Consider the following 25035-nt stretch of genomic DNA (forward strand, 5'->3'; position numbering starts at 1 on the left):
CTGTTGTGCAATTTTATATTTTAATGTTTTTAAACAGCAGCATCATTTCTTCAAATTTAATCCTACTCAGAGGTAAAAGTAAAGGCACAAACAAAACAAAACAAAACAAAACAAATGAGAAAACTAGGAATGCCTTCCTTTGAAGTGCTCTCCTCTCTTCCCTGTTAGGTTAGCCTGGGGAACACCTAGAGTTTCCTTGAGTAGAAAGTAATCACTACTACAGTGAACCAATTTGTAATATAATTAAATCCAGCAGATAATCTGCTTCTAACTACCTCTACTGCCTGGTCCAGAACTCCACTATACCCCAGGCTGACTATGGTAACAGCCTACTGACTGTTCTCTACACCCTCCGTGCCACTATTTTCTCAACAAAATTTCCTTAGAAATCCATTAAAATTTAAGTCAGATCATGTCATTTTTTTTTCCACAAAACACTCCAGTGGTTTCTTATCCCACTGTGATGGAAACCAAAATCTGTCCAATAATACTGCACTCAATTTCATCACTGCTGTCCACCTCTCTGACCATGTTTCACTTTAACCCTCCACCACATCCCCCTAAACTGACTCTTCTCCAGCCACAGGGTCCTTCTTGCTTCACCATGCAATACATTTTACATGCTCCCTTCCTTAACCAGCAACTTCCTACTTGTTCTCTGTGCCTAGAATGATTTTCCTGTAGATGTTCACTTAGCTAGATCCTCTGTTTCCTTCAGGTCTTTCTTTAAAACCACCCCTGACATTTCATATATTCCAGTATACTCCATGTATTTTATTTATTTATTTATTTATTGTGTACATATTCTGTTTTTCTTCTACAATCCCATGTAGGAAGATAATTTTACTCTTTTCTTCATCACTGTATCACAGTGTATAAAAAAGAATCTTGTCTATAATAGATGTTCAATAAACAGTTTGAATGTATGAGTAAATGAATGAATGAATTGCAAGTCAATGCAAATATTTGACTACCATTACCTGCTATATGTTTTTGTGCCCAAGCATTTATGTATAGAGATATATATTTTTGAATTACAGTAATTTTTATATTATTCTTCACTTATAATATTGTGAACATACTTATTTTGTTTTGTGTGTGTGTGTGTGTGTCTATTGTCTTTTGTTTCCTAATATGTATGGATTTTATTTCAGGATATAATAAAGTATGTGTTATAGAAAGTGATTTGAGAACCAAAAGGATTGAGTTTCACTTCTCTAATATGGCAATGCATTATAAGTACTCCTGCTTTTACATTTATGCTTACATCCACAGTAATTTGTTAGCAATCTCTTTACTTTTTGTTTCATTATTAAGAAGATTTAAAAGTTAATATAAATGTTTCAAAGAAATAAGATTAATAGTGAAGCAGTGCCTCCCTTGAGTGTATTAAATGACAGTGGAGTCGTCCACAATGCCTGAAGACGTACAGCATGATAGATGGAAATTGTATTTCAATATGTCATGTAATACTCTACTTGGAGTTTAGAAATTATCTGATGCATAAAATGGTCTTACATCACAAAGCACTGGAACTCAAATTGATTGGATTCTAAGTAATAGGAACATTTACCAAAATAGTGGCTTTTATATGTATTAGGATGTGCCAGACAGTATTCTCCAGAAATGTACTCTATTCCCAAGAGGCAGGGGAGAGTTTGTGTAAGTGAGGGTTTCTGCTTTCTTCTACAAAAGCTTTAAAACCTATTGAAGAAACAGTCATTCTCATTTCATCTCTTTTTACATTTTTAAAAATTGTCAGCAATTCTATGATGCATTGGTGATCATTTTCAATACAGTTATAACCTTCCCTAGTGTGAAAAGCCTACTCACCAATGTTTTGGAAAAGAGTAGGTGGGGACTATAGCTATAAAAGTTGCTATTGAATAATTGGACCCCACATGCATGAGATCATTTCCTTTGTTATTGTTCTAGTTTCAATTATTTAATGATAAATGTCCTGAAGAATCCCCAGTAAAATGCATTATTTAATACTGATGCAAGATAATTAGAAAGTATATAAAATACATTTTACATAAAGACTACAGTATTTGACAAAAACATTTTGAACAATGACACGGTTAAATAAAAATAGAAAATTATATGAAACAAATCTAACATTTAATTTCTCTGCAGTTAGTTCTTCCTAGTTATGTTCTAAGTAACTAGGAGCCTACATATTAGATATTTCAAAACATTGTGACTTTAGTATAAATATCACTAATAATCATCCTTCCAGTAACCTAACCCAAATTACAGAATATCTTTGGCATTTCCATTTAGCCAAGTGTACCTTTTACATGGTCAGTCAATGCATTGCTTTGCTGCTTTTTCCACCCTATGGCTCTCAGCTGTCTTTTTTTTTTGTCAGTGTGTCATCACACTATTTTAAACGATTATCATTTCATGCAAACAGCATACAATAACTACTAACGGCCGTTTTCCTTAACCTCAATCTTTCTTATTTAAAATATATCCTACAGGGTGTTAGCTAAATTAATTTTCTGAAGCCCACTTCTCCAAGGCTCAAATCAATTAAAATTTTTGAACATGTCTACCACTGGGAAGATTAACATCAAAACTTTATATTTCATTTCAATATCCGAAACCAGATAATTTTTAAAACATCATTTTGTAATATTTCTAGTTGTTTTAATTTCAACCCTGATATGTAACTTCTTATATGTATAAACTATCTCCCCACTAATAGACAATTCTGAATAATATCCAGGTGATTTGAAACGTATTGAATTTTCCTCAATAGTAAAAAGTGGTATATACAGATGTATCAGTATATGTCTCTTTAATTAACTGATATTTATAAAAGCCTCTCTAAATATGTTGGACTATTTATGATGAGAAATAAAAGCTAAATTTTAGGATATAAAAATATTACATAAGGGAGCTGTTGTGCTTGCTTGAAATTATTAACAGAATTATAATGAAAAGGAATCAGGTGGGTTGAAACTATTATTAAACTACCTCTCTGACTAAAAATGCTAAAATTAATGAAATTCTATAATTTCAGTCCCAGTTAATTTTATTTTTGGAAAATATTTTCAAAACTACATTTCTTTATTTTAATATCAAAAATAATTTAATATGAATATCCTATGAACTTTAAGAATTATTAAAACATCCTTCAGCCATTCTGCAATCCCATATTTCCTTTAGACCAGTGCTCCTCCACTTTTAATATATATTCACAACTCCTGGGTCACTTGTTAGATATCTATGTTCTCATTCAGTGGGTCTGGTGTGGGGCATAAGATGCAACATTTCTAATATGTTCACCTATAATGCCAATGCAGGCGGACCATGTGCTTTGACTGGCAAAGCTGTAGACCTCCCTCAGACCTCAAATCAACCTCAGAATGTTTTTATAACTTTTTCCTATTTAGTGCTTCAGCCCCCAGATACGTAGCCTACTACAATGAGGGGAATATAAGCTATATGGCGACTGCAGTCAGAAGATCAAAACATTATTTCTAAGTACTCTAAGGCCTTTTTCCACGTTTTTTTAACCAGAGGAGTTTGTTTGCTTCAAGCTACAGTAGATAGGATAGCAATTTTTCTCTTAATCATGCTGTCAACTATGTTTTTCTTTATATGTTCATTTTAAAGCATTTGTCTCACTGGGTCTCATTTCATTTTTACAATTACAGGACTTTCATTATTCTTCTGAAATACTTATCACAAATATTATTTTCTCTATAACCTGTTAATTTTATTATATAGGCAGCCAAGAACAGCAGATCACAGAATATAATATAATGGGCATTTTGGCACATCTCAATTACTAATTAAGTCTCCACACATCACAGATGATCAATTAAGCTACAATCTATTCTTGGCTAATAAAAGGAATTAGTCCTTCTTCAGTCAATTTATTATGTTGATTAGGATCCTAATGTACCAGCTTTTAAAAATATATATATTATTTATAAGAGTAATCGAAAATGCTAAAGATTATAGATATAAAAGTCCCTAGAGATGGATAATTTTAATCCTTTTAAAGTTTCATAGACCAAATACAGTCTAATAACATTTCAACACTGAAAAATAAAGGAAAATTTTTCAGATGTGTTTATACAATTAAAATGAGTCAGTGCATACTAAATGCATACTAAATACTTCCTTTTTATTCAGCTGATACCATTTTATGCATCTAGTCTAAAGCACCATGTGAGATAATTGAATCAAAGCATTACACTAAGGACTCAAATAATATGAGTCCATATGCTTGATCATATTATCCAAGAGTTCATTACACATTACCTACTGTGCTCTATTGTCATAGAAAATGTATAATTCTACATTGAATATTTATCACTCTGTTTTAAGTATTCTGCATATGTATTTCTATTTAGACTGTAAGTTTGAGGCAGGGTTTTATGTCGTCCATGCAAAGCTAGCAATATAGAGAATAATGCAAAGTGTTAAACAAGTATTTTTAAATTGGATTGAATATTATAATTATTTGTAAAACATTTCAATACGAAAGAAACTTGCTTTGTTGTTCCTAAAAAAAAAAAAAAGGTGGACCATTTTATGCCTATATCTTATTTGTATTTAACATGACAGAACTCACATAAGACATTAACCAAAAAGGCAATCAATATATCACTGTTGAATGAAATATACAACACAAAGGTTTGGTAGTCTTAGATAAGTTATCAACCATTGCTAGGATTGTTATCAATGCAGAAAGAATCCCAAGAAGCTCTGGTCCTTGCTATTCTTTTGAGACTAAAATTATCTCCTTCAAGCAAAACCGTTTGAAATTAGTTTTATTCTCTAGGAATGTGACCTGCACACAAACTGGTAATACACTTCTCCAGCTATACTACGTGCTAACATCTTTATGTGATAATTTGCAAAACCAGATATCAACCATATAAATTTGGGGTCAGTGGGTAGATAAAACATATGGCAGGGATAAAGAGGATTGTTGAATGAGGCACATAACTTCATGTGGCCATTATCTCTAAGATCCCTGCTAATAGGCTAAAGAATAGCATCCAAGAGTTCTTGCTACTCTCTGAGCAACCTTTTTAACTCAGCAGCAAATGTGACAGTCCCAAATGTAACTTGATCCACAAGCAAGTTAGCAGTGCTAATACAGATGTGACATTGCACCTGCTGCCTCCTGAAAGTCTCATTTTACTGTAGCTAGGATTTATTTCATTATGTGGAGAATGGTAGCAAGAATGCTCTGAGGGTTACTTAAAGATGTTCGTATAAAAGCCATCTGGTACCCAGTTTTCTTTGATCCAGGACTTGAACTGCTTCTGTAAAACAATGAGTGAAGAGATAGGAAGAGAGAGTTTGGGAGATTATTAGGATTTCCTTCCCAAGATGGTTTGTCATTGTTCACTTAATTCATTATTATTAGGACATCAAGAAAAAGAGCCACAGCTTGGAGAAAGAATCCATTAAAGATTATTTTTCTTCTAAGTTACTTCTAAGAAAACCATTTGTGCATGTACTAATGAATGGTGTGTAAACTAACTTACTATGCACTTTAGTGTGTTCAACTATGAGAATGTGTAGAACATGCATCAGACTGGCATAAACTGTTCTGCAAAATATGTTTCTGCTGTTATACCTGAAGGTGCAAAAACATACATGACACTCATTGGTGAAAAGCAATCAAAAGTATAAACATGGAGATATAAGACTGGCCATTAACAATCTACTTAAATGCATAAATATAGATCTTTACGCAAGGATAAGCACAGGAATCATAAGACAAATCTTTGTGGCACGTATTTGTGAGATAGTCAAGGTTAAGAATAAGAAGCAGAAAAAAACTTATCAGCACTAATTTTTGACTCTAATTATGGTTTAATATTTGCACAATACTAAAAACCCACTTTTAGATGGCCCGTCTTATCTCTATGTGTAGTCCCATTTTATAAAAAAAGGATTATCTCCTAAATTATGCATGTGTAGCTGAAATATAAAATTGGAATAATGTTCCATTAGTTAAATTTCATTTTCCTGAGGGCAGAAAGGGGCCAGATTGTAATTAATTCTTTATTTTTTCAAATGCCTGACTCAATTCTAAATTGTACTTACATTGTAGTTTTCAACTTATCAAAAAAGACAATACAAGACTTATTCCTCATTTTCTAATATCCATTTTTTGATTCTTAAAGGGATCAATCCCAAAATATAGAATATAGAATCCGAAACATGTTATTAGTTGTGTAAATCCTTCAATTATTGAGCTATAATACAGTGAACACCTCAGTGAACCAGTTATTGAAGAAATCATTGTGTTTTTTTCTTCACATCTCAACAGAGCATGTTTGGGATTTTCTTTCTATAAATAGGGTCATTGATGCTGAGAATTATTCCTTCAGCAATGTCTATGAAGCTCTATCTCAATGGAGCCATGAATTCTGTTGTGTGGAATCTGTAAAATGTAAACAAAATTGAAGTGGTTCTCACAATCCAAGAATTAACAATGGGAATCCATGAAAAGAGCACCTAATCCAAACACGGGTGGTCTGAGAAATCTTTTTGGAGGAAACCACATCCTACCTGGCACAAATGAAAGAGCAGAGCGTCGGTGTGCGTGCGTGCGTGTGTGTGTGTGTGTGTTCTGTACATGCATGCAGATGTACGTGTTTGCAAACAAGGACAGGAGTTAAAATGAGTTGTGGCAACACAAGAGAGAAAGTGCGTTTCATGAATTGACATAATGGGTCATAGGTATGTAATGGGTTATAAGAAAAGGAAAGAATGTGCAAAGCTCAGGGGGGAAAAGAAATATATACATTAAGGAAATAAAATTATTTTGCATGACACTTCTAAGGTGACTAAGTTCAAAAACAGATTTAGGTCTAGGTCTGATACAATGTGGAGTTCAAAGCAGCTAATCCTTTAGCCACAATTTTTTCTACTGTAGACAGTGTTGGGTTATGTCTTTGATGGGCCCTAGGCAGTTTGTATATGTGGCTTTTTTTTTCTTAAAAAAATAAAAGAAGAAAGAAAATACATTTTACAACTGCATTTAAGCAAAGAGCCATATATTAATATTATATGTTAGATAATTTTCTTTCATCTAAAAGTTCAGTTTTTTATTTTAAAATAAATTAAATCATTTTCATGGGCCTCCAAAAGTATCATGGGCACTCAGCTGGGTGCCTACTGGGCTTAATGGAAAAGTCAACCATGTCCTTAGCAGCAAACATATCATCATGGACTTTTGTATCCAGCTTTGGAAATCAAATTTTTCTCCCATGGGTTAATATGACAGATAAGGAAACAGTTTAAGAGTAATGTTATGTGATTTGCTCAGTCTCAAACAGTTAGTGTCATAACCAGAAATATAACTTGGGTCACCAGATTCCCTTTACACTGTTCTGAAATCTCCTACATAATTTAGTAATGAATAGATGTTACTATGATTAAAATTTACATGCTAATGTCCTTATCTAGGAGACATCCCAGCTAGCTTCCAGTTTGCTGAACACAGATAAGACAGACCCACTGGGAGTTGGAAGCGTATGAACTACAGACCATGAATGTACTTAGACACACAAAATAAGGGTCCAAGAAAAGAATACTAGTTCAAAACATTTAAAAATGTGTGGGATATCTAAATTCCACAGATTGCTTTGATTGCAAACATATCATTGATATGTTGAATTTTAAGTATAAATTTGCTATTCAAATGCCCTTGAGAATAAAGATTCAATAGCTATTTTTTTTTCTTTTTTTAAGAATTGTGCCAGTGGAAGGAAAGCTTGAATGGGTTAAAGTCGTAAATTAGTTGATAAAAAGATATTTTAAAAATTACCTTTAAAAGTGTGGACACATTAAGTGGTTTCTTCTCCAACACTCATTACATTCACACCCTGACCCTAACCCTACCATTATCATCCCCTGCTACTACTCTTGCAATTCCAACTAAATCACAGTTTGCAGTTTTTCATGCAGTAGGTTTTATGACCACCCACTTTAACAAATTTTGGTTTTTGTGTATGTATGTCTGACTTTTTTTGTAGTGCACACTACTGGTGAAATCATTACTTTTAAATATGTTTAACCATTAGAAAGTACTAGAGTTCATAAGTCTGATTCAGTGAATAATTTGGTGCACAAATCCAGTATAATACTAAACTAATCACTACAACAAAAATTCACACTTATTAAAGGCAGTGAAATTTGTAAGCTTTCAGACATTACAAGAGATTATACATTAGTCCTTGCACCAATTATATATTTGATCTATATTCAGTCACAATTACTGTGGGAACCAGAGAGATTTATCATTTCAGCAAGTATTTAGTGGGCTAAGATCACTGCCAGAAACAAAGCAGTACATCTAAATTCTGGACCATTAAGCCACAATCTGTAAACTGCCATTCATTCAGTTTAATTGCAAAATAGTAGGTCAAGCAGAGTGCTGCTCAGCATTTCCTGTCTTCCTTGGATAGCTGGTATACCTTTTGTGTATACCCGCTCTGTGTTTAAATGATATTTCCTGAATTTGTGCATGGTGATACTTACTACGTGATGTTACAGCACTTTTTACCTATTTCCCCAATTAGACATTCTGCAACTTGGGAAAATGTATTATTGCATTGCATTGCATGTGTGTGTATATGTGTATATGTGTATGTTCCCTTAATGACCTTTAATGGACTGAGTTAATCAAAGAAAAAATTTCTTTTTGAGTTTATTTTAACTTACTCTCCTGTCTCCTACCACAATCTAGGAATGTGCAGTAGTAGATGCTAGAGATAAGAAGATGGGAAAGAGATTAAGGAAAAAATAGTTTATTTAGAGTGAGTCTTCTCACTTTCTTACTCCCCTAACTCAGCTATGGAATAAAAATATGGAGTCATAAGGGAAGAATATGTCTCAAGGCCTAATTTTCTAGAATACATGCTTCCTGAATACATTCGCTATCCTGATTTCTTTTCTAAAATGTTTATTCACCTTTTTCAAGACAATCTATTGATCATTTTAATAACTTATCTTGGGATTACAGTGGCTTTGTCTGATAATGAAACTCTAAAAACTAGAAGATTTCAATTTTTTAAATAAGAGGAATCAGACAGCCACTAGGGTAGAAGTGAAACAGCTGTGATATATCAAGAGGAACAAAGAACACAACATGATAAGGAAGTACAAGTCTCTGTATAACTACTGGTGTCAGTTTCTGCCTTCATCAGCTTTAGTTGTAAAGACCATTCAATTCAATCTGCACATTTTCTCTTTGGAGTCTAACACAATCCAAACAGGTACTATATATGTAGAATATAAAGAATAAAAAACACTTCCCAACACATTTTATGTATGTATCATTACTCTGACACCAAAACGATAAAACATTACAAAGAGGAGAATATCAACAACAAAACAAAATTGAAAAACAACCTTTGTGAAGACAGATACACAAATCTTCACCAAAATATTAGCAAGTGGAAGCAATATGTAAAACATATAATACATCATGACTTCACCTTAGTATAATGTTGGCTCAACATTCAAATGCCAATCATTGTTGTAACTGTCATATCAACAGATTTTTTAAAACTATGACCATTTCAATAGATGAAGAAAAAACATTAGACAAAATCTGACATCCTTCATGATAAAAATTCTCCATAAAGTATGACTGAAACTAACTTCCTCAAGTCTTATATAGCAGACCCATAAAATCCTACAACTAGCATACTTGCTGGAAAAAAAAAATGCTAACGTTTCCCCCGTATATTCCGGAACAAAGTGTAGATAAGATACCTACTTTTACCACTTGTATTCAACTTTAAACTGGTTGTCCTAGCCAAAGCAGTGAGGCAAAGAAAAAAGAAATGGAAATCATACATATTGAAAAGGAAAAAATAAAACTGTGTCTATTTGCAAATGGCATGATCCTGAACATGGAACATCCCAGAGAAGTTACATTAAAAGCTACCAATCTAATCAATGAGTCCAGTAAGTTGACAAGAATATACGATCAAACAAAACAATTAAAGTTTTACATAAAAACAATTAATACTTCTAGATTGAAATAAAAATAAAAATTAAAAATGTCTGGCATGTGGCTCACTCCTGTATTCGAAACCCTTTGGGAGGCAGAGGCAGGAGGACTACTTGAGGCCAGGAGTTCAAGACCAGCCTGTGCAACATAGTGAGACCCCATATCTACAAAAAAATTTAAAAATTAGCCACATGTAGTGGCACAGGCCTGTAGTAGCTACTCTGGAGATTGATGTGGGAGGATTGCTTGAGCCCAGAAGTTCACAACTGCAGTGAGCTATAATCATGTAATTGCCCTCCAGCCTGGGTGACGAAGCAAAATTCTGTCTCTAAAAATACAATACAATAAAAAAAATTTACCAATGTGCAATAAAATTGGGTAGAAATTAAACAAAATATATGCAAGATCACTACGCTGAAACTTTTGTCTTTTGTAATTGGTAAAGATTTCTTTGAGATGATACCTAAATCATGACACATAAAAGAAAAAAACTGACAAATTGCATTTGATGAAAATTAAAAGCAAAAGTCTCTTCAAAGACACAATAAAATGAAAGATAAGTTAGAAACTCTTGGCTGGGCACGATGGCTCACACCTGTAATCCCAGCACTTTGGGAGGCTGAGGCCGGCAGATCACCTGAAGTCAGGAGTTCAAGACCAGCCTAACCAACACGGTGAAACCCCATATCTACTAAAAAATACAAAAATTAGCTGGGCGTGGTGGCAGGTGCCTTAATCCCAGCTACTTGGGAGGCAGGGGCAGAAGAATCGTTTGAAGCCGGGAGGCGGAGGTTGCAGTGAGCCGAGGTCAAGCCATTGCAGTCAAACCTGGGGAACAAGAGCAAGATGTCTCTAAAAAAAAAAAAAAAAAAAAAAAACAAAAACAAACAAACAAACAAAAGAAAGTCAAAAACTCTTAGAAAATAATTGAAAATGTGTCTCTGATAAAGTCTTTTTTCATACTGTATAAAGAATTGCCAAATCTCCATAAATGAAAACAAATAACCCAATTGAAAACAGGCAAAGAACTTGAACAGACATCTTTAGCAAAGAAAATATATAGATGGAAAATAAGCATATAAAGACTTGCTCAACATCATTCATCCGTATGGAACAAAAATTTGAAAATGAAGACCGCAATGCACACCACTACATTAAATTAAAATAGCTAAAATAACATTTTAAGAAGACATTACCAAGTGTTGGAAAGGATATAGAGCAGGGATATAGTATAGGTCTATGACCTGTTAGGAACCGGGCCACACAGCAGGAGGTGAGGAGCCTGTGACCAAGCATTAGCACCTGAGTTGCACCTCCTGTCAGATCCAATCAGCAGTAGAGGGAGGGGGGATTAGCTTCTCATAGGAGTAGGAACTTTATTATGAACTGCACAGGCAAGGGATCCAGTTTGCACACTCCTTATGAGAATCTCATGGCTGATTGCCTGACAATCTGAGGTGGAACAGTCATCCTGAAATGATTCCCCCAACACCTCCTCCCATCCATAGAAAAACTGTCTTCCACGAAGTGGGTCGTTGGCACCAAAAAGGTTGGAGACCACTGATATAGAGTAATTGAAACTTCCATACCTTGCTGGTGGGAATGCAAAATATCATAGACACTTTAGAAAACAAATTTGTGGTTCTTAAGATGTTACATATGTACTAATCATTTGATACAATATTCCTACCCTAGGTACTTGTTGAGGAAAAATAAGAAAATTTGTTCACATAAAACTTTTTACAAATGATTATATCTTCTTTATTTATAATCATCAATCGGGAACAACCCAAATGTCCTCAAATGGGTGAATGGGTAAACAAACTTTGGTGCATCCATACAATGACATACTACTTATTAATGTAATGGAATCAACAATTGACACATGGATGAATCAATTGACACACGGATGAATCTCAAATGCTTTATGCTAAATAGAATAAGCCAGCCTCAAAATCATATACAATGTATGATTTTATTTATATGACATTCTTGCAAAAGCAAAAGTATAGGGATACAAGAGAGATCGGTGATGGTTAATGTCTAGTCACCACAAAGTGACAAGAGGTAACTCCCTGGGGAGATGGAAATGTTCTCCATGTTGACTACAGTGGTAGTTATAAAACTGTAGGCATTTATCAAAATTCATAGAACTTTACCCTAGAAAGGATGAATTTTACTATCTGTAAATTTTACTTCCCTGCAAATGGCCCAAAGTTGCATGAAATGATGCTCAGCATCACTAATCAGGGAAATACAAATCAAAATCACAATGAGCTATCATCTAACACCTGCTAAGATGACTATTACAGGCCTGGCGCAGTGGCTCACACCTGTAATCCCAGCACTTTGGGAGGTCAAGGTGGGTGGATCACTTGAGGTCAGGAGTTCGAGACCAGCTTGGCCAACAGGGTGAAAGCTTGTCTCTACTAAAAATACAAAAATTAGCCAGGCATGGTGGCATGTCCCTGTAATCCCAGCTACTTGAGAGGCTGAGGCAGGAGAATCGCTTCAACCTGGGAGGTGGAGGTTGCAGTGAGCCGAGATCACACCACTGCACTCCAGCCTGGGTGACAGAATGAGACTCTGTCTCCAAAAACAAAGAACAAACAAACAAAAAAAAGATGGCTTTTATTTAAAAGGATGAATGCAATGTATAAAAAAGATTTTTACCTTCATCGTATTTTTGTTATCAAATATTATTTTAATAATTGAAAACGTTTAAACGTTTAAGAGTATGTAATTTTATGAATTACACAGGAAGCAAAACTTACTACATATCCATTATATATCTAAATATGCAGCATCCAGAAAAAAGCATTCATTTAAAAATGTTATTTAGATCAATGGTTTCTTTATTCTACTCTGAGACATTGGCGTTTCAAATAAAAAGATGCCCTAAATTGAATGTTCCATTTTGTTTCCTGTTATTCTTTGATTCTAGCTAGTTATCAGTTGTCAAAACAACAGACTAAGCCTAACACCTAACACCATGTCAAATATATATTTTTTTAATCTCTATAACCTCATCAGAACTTTATTTCCTCAGCTTGGCCTGGACACCCTCAGCTTCAGCAAACAGGGAGTCAGTGCAACAGTGCATAAAATATGAGGGCTCTGAAAGCCTGGGCCTGCTTAGGGGAGTGTGTAATTTAATAAAGTGTTCATTGATGTCAGCACACGGGCTCATCAGACTCATGTTGATGCCGACGCCTGCAGCACAGAGACTCCTAGTCCTAATTAGATGACTGAAGTAAGATTACATTTTCCCTTGGAGACAGGCACAAGGGTGGGAGAGTTACTCTCAAAGGGATTTAGACTTACAAGTATATGATGGAACAGAACAAAAATAGGGAAAGGCACACTTTAGGGAAACCAACGAGGGAAATGAACTTAACAGAGTCGCATTATTTATAAGAAGGAAAGTTAAAAAAACCACCGTCAGGTGTCTGTTGTTCCTACTTTATTCACACAGAAAGTCTGACATAAATTATAAATAAGGAAAAATATTTTTATGACTTATACGCTAAGCTTACAACAATCCCTGGCAAATCCCAGAGAAATTTTAGCAATATGACTTAGAATTTTAAGTATTATATTATACACTTTATTGTCTAGGGATGTCCGTTAGTTTTTTATGACTTTTAAAATTCTATCTGAAAAGGTCAAATTAATGATTTCTCAAAAAATTAAATTATGTATTACTCACAGAGCAAGGACATTTTGTCTCAGATCACACAATGAAAGTTTTGTCATAATGAGGAAAAAGCAAATATGTACCATTTTTGTGAGTGTTTCATTAATATTTTAAATGTTTTATCTCCTAGCCTAATATAAATAGGAGAGATTATCTGGTGATTAAACATTATTAACTAAGTATTGCTATATAGATAATTCTATATTTTAAAGCAGGCCCTCTATTTTTTGTTTAATTTGACAGCATCAACCTAGCCATTTTGACCTTCCTGACAATGTTCAAATCCTCATTCTTTGCTACTGAAATATCCTTGGCTAGAAATATTAATCTTCGGAGGAAAAACACTAGTGTATGTAAGATAATATTTCATATTTTTAAACAGTAGTATAGCCATGTTCTTATATTAAAAAAAGATTGCCGACAGAATTATCCCATTTTAAACCACTGGTAATGAGACAGAATATGGAGCAGTAACAGTTTCTGTTGGCAAATCGAGTCATCTTCTATGACTTTTCTTATTCTATTTGTCAACACACGTGTTGTTTCTTAGTGGCTTAATTTATTTACATTTTGAATGTTTTTTTTTATTATTATTTTGAGATGGAGTCTCACTCTGTCACCAAGCTGGAGTGTAGTGGCGCGATCTTGGCTCACTGCAACCTCTGGCTCCTGGGTTCAAGCGATTCTCCTGACTCAGCCTCCCGAGTAACTGGGACTAGAGGTGCGCACCACCACGCCCAGCTAATTTTTGTATTTTTAGTAGAGACGGGGTTTCACCATGTTGGCCAGGATGGTCTCAATCTCTTGACCTCATGATCCGCCCGTCTCGACCTCCCAAAGTGCCAGAATTACAGGCGTGAGCCACCGCACCTGGCCTACATTCTGAATGTTTTAACAAAAGGTTTCAAAATATAAAGTAGTAGTAAAAATTACATTATCCTAATGTTTCAGTGAAAACACATTTAAAAATTTTTAATCATCCCATCACTTAATTAATTTGTTTAATGAACAATTGTTTAATACTTCACATGAACCAGATACTTTGCTATATAATGAGGATATAATGGCACAAGAGCACTGGTTTAAAGAAAGCTTAAATTTCGTCAGGGTGAAATAGATATCTTAGCAATATAAAATGAATAAGCTGCAATTTCAAAGTTATTAAAATGTGTACATTGAAAAATTTCCCATAACACATTATGCATAGCTGCACCCCAATTAACTTAACATTATTCTTTGAGCTGGAGGCTTTGGATATAAAGCTCCAAGGGTGTGGATAGAATTAGAATAAAGGTGTGATTATATAGTTCTGAGTTTCAAATTGTATTTTCTTCAGTGGATTTGCAGAATCAGTGCTTGAAAATCACTAATTGTTGAATTTTTAAAGCTTTACTCAAAACCTCAGTATGGACAAAACTAAGAATAAAATGTAGGAGAATTCCCATCCCACTGGGAAGGGGGAAACCATTACGGATTCTGAAGAATGGCTCTCAGGGAAATAAATAGAATGCAGATCATCAAAGAGGGTCAAGCTATTGAGTCCTGGTTGATTTTTTCCCCTTCCATGCCTCTAGTCAACATCCTTGAGGCTTGGTGGAACGATAGTTGGGGGGAGGTTAGAAGAAGCACAGGCTGCGTGGAAAGTAAGAAATGGTTGATGAAACTGTCTAGGTAAATGAGTAAGAGGACAACCTCACAGAGCTCCACACAATCCAGTGTGCGCTGAAGATGTGACTCAGAGTAACAGAACACAATTTGGAAGGGAGGGAGGAAAAGACAAGAAACCTTGGACAACAGACTTCAGCAGGAGATTATGACAGGACACTATGAGAATATGTTAAGACAACCACACTGCATCAGATGCCAGCACAACTCTGAAAGTGTCTATCAAAATGAACGCTTCTTAAATGATTACAGTATAAGTGTATTGAAGGACTAGCTACTGTACAACAGAGACCCAGAGGAATTCAGGAGATTGTGTGTCCACCAGTGCAAGGCTGTGCAAGTTTCCCCACAATGTTTTGATTTCTGCTCTTTCTTCTTAGATCTCTCCTATACCTTTTCCGGCCTGGCTGGAGTCATCCTCACAACTGCTGATACTCTCCTAATTCCCCACTAGCTGGCTTCGCATCGATGATCAGGCACCCGTCAGAATGACTAATCGTGCTGCTCACTGCCTGTCGGATGTTCATCCAAGTCTTCCCCTGCCATTCACAGAATTCACGCTACAGCATCTGGTCACCATTACAACGTGCAAGCCAAGGTACGGAGTAGAAGAGCAGGGAGGGAAACGCGGTAAAAGTCACTCCCTCGCATATGGCAAGGAGGCCCTGGGCCCAGAAACGCTCCATATTATTACGCATACAGGAGAGGTATTTAGCTAGTTGATCATTGTTTGGAGGGCCTAATTTTATCCTGAGACAGTTCTGCAAAATAAACTTTCTTATGTTGCCAATTATTCCATGACAACTGCTTAGCAATGTACCTTCACAAATGCTAAATTAATTTTTAAAATATTGTGAAGTAGATTCCTAATGACATAAACGGGAAAATGAGGCAAAGAATCCTAAACATACATGTGTTGGACTGTAGAAAAGAACATTAAATAGCTTCTTAAATATAAACTTAATTTTTAATCTTAGTTACAATATTTTAGAGTACATTTAAAAATTGTATTGACTAGGATTATCTTTATTTTTGCTTCCATTATGCTAATTGTATTTGATTAAATTTAGAGAGATTTAAATATTAATGTGTTTTTTTCATATTATAAATATGAATGTTTGGCCTCTATTTCAAAATACACATGAATAAAACATTAGGTTTCCTCTGAATGGCAATGTTAAACTGCTCTACCGAATGGAATTATGATCTGTGAATATAGAGATTATATATTGATTTAATTTATTTCTGGTGAAATCTTCATACTAACATCAATAAATATTTCCTGGCAATATTCTCATCCTTGGCATTTTATTGTTCTCAGTTCAAATCCTCAAGAAGATTTTAAATGCCTTGTACCTATGTGCACTGAGGGGATAGGGAAGACAGTTTGGAGATGTGAAGAAGTTAGAAAAATGTAAACAGGTTAGGGCTGGAGAAAGTGGGGAAGCTGCACCTTTAACTGATGTCCTCCTAAGACTGTAACAATTGCTCCTTTGCAGTCACTGAAGGCTACAAGGTACAATATGTAGTGAGGCTCAGCAATCAGTATTTAGTAAAAGAAAACAGAAAAAGAACAATATCCCTCTTTAGTACCATCATTTGCTGAGTGGCTATTACACGCCAAACACATTTATGCATAGCTTAAACATTGTTTCTCATCTTATATTATTTGTTGCTCCAGGAAAGGACTATTTATTCCTTACCTTTTTATACCCAGCATTTAGCACAGATCCCTGTAGAGACAGTTGCTCAGTAAGTTCCTGGAAAATAATATATTGTTATTCTTCCCTCACGGGGTGCCCATGACTAGGCCATATTAAGTATCCACCCCTTTAATTGATACACCAAACAATGCTGATGAATTAAGTAATGTGATTAACATAATATAGCTTGTAACTGGTTAAACCGGGATTTTTTAAAGTCTTGGCCTGATGTGGGGGCTCCATGGCTGTAACCCTAACAATTTGGGAGGTGAGAGGATCGCTTGACACCAAGAGTTTGAGACCAGCCTGGACAACACAGGGAGACTCTATCTCTATTAAAAAATAAAATTAAAATTAAAAAAAGAAAAGTCTTTCTCTGTCTCCCTTATTATGTTGTCTTCAAACAATAGACTGTTCATAACTTGTAAAATATCGAAAAATATAGTTATAGTGAGAGAATAAAATAGGATTATTAGAAAAATTGTTAAACAAGTTTTGTCTCCTATTTTCAGAGTAGATTTTTGTTAACAATGAACTTTTAAGAGGGTCCCCCACCAATGGTCCCTTCCTCCTGGTATGCAAACCCTATGTGATCCCATCTTCTTGCATGCGCACCGATCTAGTAACTTGCTGCTAACCGACATAATTCAGCAAAGGTGAAGAGATACATTCCCATGATTCAGTTACAAAAGATGGCAACTTACATCTTGCTAGGAGACTCTCTATTGCCTTCTCAGCTTGCATGCTTTGATGCACAAGCCACCATGTTGAAGAGGATCATGGAGTCAAGAACTGACTGTGGCTGAAGGCCAATAGCCATCAAGAAACTGAGGACCTCAGTCCAACGACCCATAGAAACAGGAACCTGCCAACAACCACCCATTGAGCAACACCTCAGATGAAACCTTAATTGCAACCGGCAAGAAATCTTAAAGCAGTGGATCCAAGCAAAGCCTGCCTGCATTCCTGACCTACAGAACTTGTGAGATAATGGATGTAGGTTGTTTTAAAGAGCTAAATTTTGTGATAGTACGTTACACATTAATAGGAACCTAACACAATAACAATCAAACAAATTAATAAGAATTCAATATCATAGATATCTTTTTCTTTTAATAAGAATTAGATATTCTACATTTTAGCAAAAGGTATCAGTTGCTTATGATCATATGTGTGTGAAGGGACAAAGTGTCTTAGTGGCCCACTGGAAGTAAGAATAGTTCCCTGAACTACAATAAATGCCATAATCAGTGTGGTTTCAATTGCAATATGATATTCCAAAAAGGACATTTCATAAAGTTTTACAATTTTGTTTTGGTGAAAAATTTATTGCTTATCACCTTATCTCACAGATATACTTCTTTTCTGCATATTTACGACTGTGAATATAGAAAATGTATTTCAACTGACAGTACGGTTGAATTAAAAATAGTTTACTCAGTGTCACAAAATAATGGAGGTTATCCAATTGAGAAACCTCAATAATTGATCAATGCGTTAATGGTACACATTAATGCTTTTTGTATTTCTTTATTATTGGGGGTAAAACTACAGAAACACACTTGCCATTAGAAAGTCAGAAGTCAACTGAGAAAAGCTCTCAGGTTTATATACATAATTCTTATGGCAAAAATAACTTTTGGAGGAGTTATTTGTTTCATTTGTTCACATTTACTGGTGTGCTCCTATTTAATCAATACAGTAAGATTGATTAATAGACATAAATGGAACTTTTGAAATGTAAGGCAGTTTTTCAATCTATCATAAAATATTTGTGGTAATCAGAGCCCCTGATGGAATATTACTATTGTATTTTCAATTTTTTAAAAGATGACTAGACTTCTTCTCAAGATTGTGCAGTATGCTATTTGCAACACATTGAGGACACAGCCCTCTGAGAGATGTAATCCAAACCGACTGCTTCAGAAACATACTAGTAACTGATTTGAGTGTCATTGTCATTATCTAGGATAATTCTAGAGTACTTCCATATAGAAAAAAATGTTAAATAATGCAATATAGTGATTTTCATTCCATTCCTACTGAAGGTACCTCTTTCTTAAGAGAAAAAAAAAATGGATAACTGAAGTGCAAATCAGCCATAGGGAATATGTGGAGAGTATCAGCACTGCCTGTAGCTATTTAATGTTTTGTTCAAATATAGTTGTGGTGAGTAAAAGTACCTTTTAAAAACTCAGGAAAAACAATGCATACGTATTCTCTGCTGTTAATATATCTATGAGCAAGAATAAATAACACGTGGTTACATAAGACTCATTTTCATGCTTTTACAGCCTTCCTAGAAAAAGAGGAAGACTACGTCGTCTTTATTTTCTATGTGTTCTCTTTCTTTCCTGTGTAATAGTTTTCACATTTTCCTTCATTGTTTTCACTGTATTTTTCTGCTATTGTTTGGCTTGCAAGCATCCTCTTTGCTGGGAAAAAAAAAAAAAAAAAAAGGAAATGACAGCTTTTATTTACCGTAAAAGTGAAAGAATGTCCTTGGAAGTATTTGGGGCAGCTGGAGAAGAGTCTCAGAAGTACAAATGGGGACAATGTTGCTACCTAGGACACTGTGGCAATTGCCTCAAGCTTTAAATAAACTTCGAGGCACATGAATTAATGGTCACTGAAGAATGAGTTTCTCATGAACATATATTCTGTGGTACGGATAAAATATTTTCCCTAGTTTTTGTATAGAAAGGGCTTTTTCGAACTGGGTATTTATTGCTCCCTTACCCCACTAAAAACACCTTCTATATTTCTATTTATTTATTCAATATTCTATGTTCTATGTATTTATTCAATAAATAAATGTTGAATGAAGCATTCATTTAAGAATGGGACAAGGACAAATTCGACTTTGCATCTGAAGAATTACCTATTCAGAGAGATACCCAAACATCAAAACCAAGAGTTCATTTTGTGAGTTAAAAATGTGCATTCCGGAACAGTATAACTAAGTCAAAGCAGACAGATAAAGAACATAGTCTGATAATAATGTTGATAAAGGTGCTTCCTGGTTCTATTTTATGGTCAGTGTCATTACATATCTATAATGCAATCATGATGGATCCAAAAATGTTAAAACAATAATTACTCTCTATTGATAGGAAAAACTCTGTAAGTTCTACGGATAGGCTATATCCTTGCAATGAACATTTATGAAGTAGAAAAATGCAAACAAGTATGGATAATGTTATGCTTGAATAATGGAATCTGGCATTACACAGCACACAATATATTCCTTAATTCCTTCTAAAACCATACATAAATAGAAACATATCTCCAGAGCTTGCACCCTTTCAGTGTTATCCATGCTCCCTCCTGATCCAATGTTACAGAATTTGGAAAACACTAATTGGGTGCAGATTTCACTGTAATTGATGATGTGCATATTAAATAATAGCAGGCTGATAAATTAAGTATTTGAGGAAATGACTAGCATGACATTGCAGAAGCCAATAAAATGGGTCAGGGATGAACGTCTCCATTTTTTTCTCTGTCACTGCCTTTTACAAATTCTCATTGTTGGGGCCACCATCAGATGAAGACAGAATTTAGTTTTGGTTTCCAGACCGAGTAAACAGAACCAGTGACAATTATTAGCGTCCTCATGACTGCAATAATTATCTTTGCCAACTAGATTAAAATTTGATATTTGGGAGTATTTTATATGTACCCATGTAAACTGGGGCATAGTACAAGACTCATGTTTATGTCGCATTTGCTTCTTCATTTTGCCATCTAATTATTCTGTGAAAATCCAAGGCGGCAGGACTTATTTTTTGTGTGGTTCTCTCCTGTACTCCTATTGGTCAGAGCAGTAGCAGATGACGATGTACAGGCTCTGGTTTTACCCATTGTGCCATCTTCAGCTGCAGGAGTCAAGCACCAGGAGCATCTACATATTCTGTTGTCTCTGGTGAGTGTGGCCACCTCCCCAACAAGTAGACATCCACTCTCAACTATGCTTTCTTCTCAACTTGCCCACATTACCCACAATCCATGATAATACTGTTCTCGCCTGTTTCTCCAAACTCCTTTCTCACTGATTTCTCTTGATCAAGTATCATCTGGCACAATAGCCTCCATTCATTTTTACCAAAACACCAAGCTCATTTCTGCATCAGAATTTTTGCACTTGCTGTTCCTTTTGCATGGAAATCTCTTCTGCTCACTTTTCACATATTTCAAATATTTTATATTTCTGTTCGCATTTTTCAGTTCTCAAATATCACCTCGTTGACACTAAAAACTGACCTTCAAAGACATTCTTGATCAGTTTATCTTGTTTATTTTATTCACGTTATCACAATGTGATTTTTATAGTATTTAACTGTTAATCATCTGTCACTGAAATACATTCTACATGAGTACAGGAAACTAGTTTTGATTGTTCCCTTGGGAGCCACACTGCACAGAACAGTGCTTAGTATATTGTAGGTATGGAAAAAACGGAACAAAACAGATAATATGTGAATGACTTCAATTCTTTCTAAGACTATGGAGCTTCCCTATAAACTCCTACATCTTTCATGGATGGTTTTTGCTCTCTGAAGCCTGAAGTGTTGGTGAATATAATTCCCAAATAATACCAACAGAGCTCTCTAACCTTCACTTAATTTCCAGGTACCATAGGATTCTTACTGCCATGCCTACTTATTAGACTGGCCCTCTTCATAGAAATTAAATCATATATGCAATTCAACAAAGTGACCAAAGCTGAGCACAGCATATATTTTGGAAATTCTGCCTTGAGGCATGAGGAGGTCCTTACTGTGATCAACCTTAGTAGGTGTTCATTTCCCAGATCCCTTGGCAATTAGAAGTTGTGAGCCTGACCATAGTGTTTTAGTGTTTTTCATTTATCCCTTCTCATTGCCAAGGTGTTAGCATGTCTTGTGTTTTAATTACCCCAAATCATATAAATTATAGCCATATTCTTTTTATGGAATGTTGACTGTAATTATTTTGTTTATGTTCTTTAAAAAAAGTATATATTTCATTGCATTACATAAATTTAGTTCTTTCAGAAAGTTAAAAAAAAAAAGAAAGAGGAAGGTGTATGCAAAATAATTTTTAGGAAGAGGTATCTAGCCTTGGCAAACAAAGTAAACTTCCATTTTCTCATTTTTCTGTTGCAAAGACAAAGTAATATTTAAATGTTCATTAATTAAGGAACTAAGTGAATAACTTCTGCATTTCCCAAGGCTCACAAGAACCAGAAATTTGTTTTTTCCGCAACGAATTTGGATTATGGTTAACACTGTAATTTTTAAAGAATTTTTACATTGTAGGAAAGAACACTGAATATAGATTCTACACTTGGGGGTCGGATTTAGGTTAAAAGGTAAAAAAAGGAATGAAGGCATAAAATATATAGAAAAATGAATGGTAGAAATAAATGGCAGCATTGATAAATGTGAATAAAGCTCATACAAAGAAAAGGCTATTAGTAGATTGCAATTTTTTTTTTCAAAATCTGCACATACCTCATACTTTCTATATTTAAAAAAAGAATTCTACAATCAATTGTTCTTGTTCTGTGAGTACTTGGACATGAGGCAAAATAAAACTTATTCTCCAGAATAAACATTCTCAGGCACTCAGATGCTTTCATTGATTCCAGATAAGTAGGAGTATCAAATTCATATTTCTATTAGACCACTGGACTAAGGCCAAAGTCTTGTGTTTATCAATTTGTATGTCAGCTAAGTTCACTCTGTGGCATGACCATAAATTATACTGGTCCTCAGAGTGCATATACTATTTTTCCTCTAGCAGTTATCTTATCAATATATCTTTTTTAAAAAAATTCAAGGACATTTAAGCGAGAAGTAATTTTAGAAAAGCACAAATCTCTCATTGTTATAATTCCATTGAATTTAACACCTCATCTTTTGAAAACACATATTCCTTCAGTCAAAAATCTTTGCATCAGTTATTACGAAAGGGAATGGTCAATCCAGCCCCTTGCAGGTGCATCAAGCTGTATTCAAAATGAGTATATATCAGAGTTTATCAAGAGTGGCACTCTTGAGACTTTGGACTAGACAATTCTTTGTTAGGGAGGTGAATCTTGTGCATTGTAGGATGGTTAGCAGCATCCCCAGCCTCTACCTACACCATGCCAGTAGCAATGCACCCCTCCTGCTTTTGCCCCGATCACGGCAGACAAAAAAATGTCTCCAGATACTGCCAAATACTATCTGGAGGGAAGGGAGAAAAATTACCCCAAATGGAGAACCACGAAATTGTAATATTACCTAGAATATTTGTATTGAGATCAATAAGATAAGAACCAAAAGCAAACTTTAAACAAAATGTAGAAGTAGGACCTGGCTGAAGTCTGGAGTAGGCATTAAGCATACTGATCATTAGTAAAATTTGCTGATAAAATTAGTTGACTATTTGAAAAAGAATTGGCTCCTCATAGCCTATGCATGCCAATATAAATTCTAAATGACTTTAAGAGCAAATGTAAAAGTAATACTATTTTTTAAAAAGCTCTAAGAAAATACCATTTAATATTTATTAGATCTTAGGATAAAAACAGAACAAAAGAATAAAGAAATATCTGACCACAAATTAATGGAAGATGTAACAAAGGAATAATCAAACAGCTGCTTCTAACTCTTCATTTGTTCCTCTTTAGGATTACATATCCATGCTCCTTTGCTATGTGCCTCCCAGAGGCCTCCCTGCAGAAGAGATGATACCCACCTCCCCGCCTGATGCACTTGGATCACTTTGTCATTATCAATATAACCGTAAACCCAATTGGTCATCTTGTGAAGGGGTTGTTTACAAAGCCATACGGTTTTAGAATTGTAAGGAATCTTAGCAATCAGTCTGTTCCCCACCCTCTATTTTACATATCAGTGTCAAAAATGTTATGTGATTTTATCTGTATCATGTGCAATGGCTAAAAGGGTAGTTAACACTCCTCAATTCAAGAGTGTCCAATTTCAATGTGTGTTTGGTTAGGGGTTCATTTTTTGGTTTTCAGAATTTTTTCACTGTTAAATGTGAAATATGAGGTAGTTCATCATCTGTTCAGAAATCCACTCAAAGAATGGACCATTATTATTAGCATAATTATGGATAAAACTGATGTAAAATCATTTAACATGGATTTGATTGCAAAATTTCTGAGTCTCTGGAAACTGCACTCTCATGAATATGACTGAAGGATAACTTGTTACGAAGCAAAAGTTGAAATCATTTGAAGAGACAACGCTGTTGCAGAGTAAATCATGTAAAGGTGATTGCTGAGTGTTTCATTGCCATTTGTTTTTTAAATCCTTTCAATTAACAAGATGTTTACTTAATAATTTAAATATTACTCTTAAAACTCATGTGATTATTCTACAGCCTTGCACAAATATTAAGTGGATAAGCATGAAGCCTTTTTCTTTTCTGTACTTTCTATTTTTGTTAAAGTTCTACATGTGTATCAGCTATTCCTTTTAAACGCTGGCTCCTTAATTTTATCTGACATAGAGATTTCAAACAAGTACTGGTTCTAGCCAACTGATTAAGCGAATAGTCCAGTAACTGGCGCTGGTCACTTTAAAGAATCATAAAGAGGAAAAAGTTATATTGTGTAATTATCTAAATAATGCTTAAACTCTCCACAACAGTGTAATCAAATGTTTATACATAATCATGAAACTCCTTTGTTTAATTTGACTTCCTGGTCTTTGTTTAATTTGACTTCCTGGTCTTTGTAGAGCTTATTTTATACTGGTATTAAATGACATATTAAGAAGCACCTAGAGGCATTGTATATTATTTAATTTTGAATTTTTTACAAACTGCAAAGGCATCTATGTCAAACATCTGATTTTAATAATTATTTTAATTGTTTTAATGTGTTCTATAGTATCATTGAGTCATATACTAAAGTAGTCAATCATAAAACAGCCATGACACTCCTTTCTTCTCTCCTATTTCTCTACTTT

At 34.6% G+C, this 25035-nt stretch overlaps 1 protein-coding gene across 5 annotated transcripts in view; it reads right to left on the reverse strand.

Annotated features, from left to right (window-relative positions):
- The window catches only part of CDH10 (cadherin 10), a 157879-nt gene that overhangs the window by 106915 nt on the left and 25929 nt on the right, over positions 1-25035 (reverse strand). Inside the window, exon 2 of one of the 5 annotated variants that reach the window (XM_011513923.3) lies at positions 17069-17125. The exons of the other annotated variants lie outside the window; for them this stretch is intronic. The gene's annotated coding sequence lies outside the window, so the exon portion shown is untranslated. The remainder of the gene's footprint in view (positions 1-17068; positions 17126-25035) is intronic. 5 annotated transcript variants of the gene reach the window in all.

This window comes from Homo sapiens, chromosome 5 (assembly GCF_000001405.40).
Source record: "Homo sapiens chromosome 5, GRCh38.p14 Primary Assembly".
NCBI lineage: Eukaryota > Metazoa > Chordata > Mammalia > Primates > Hominidae > Homo > Homo sapiens.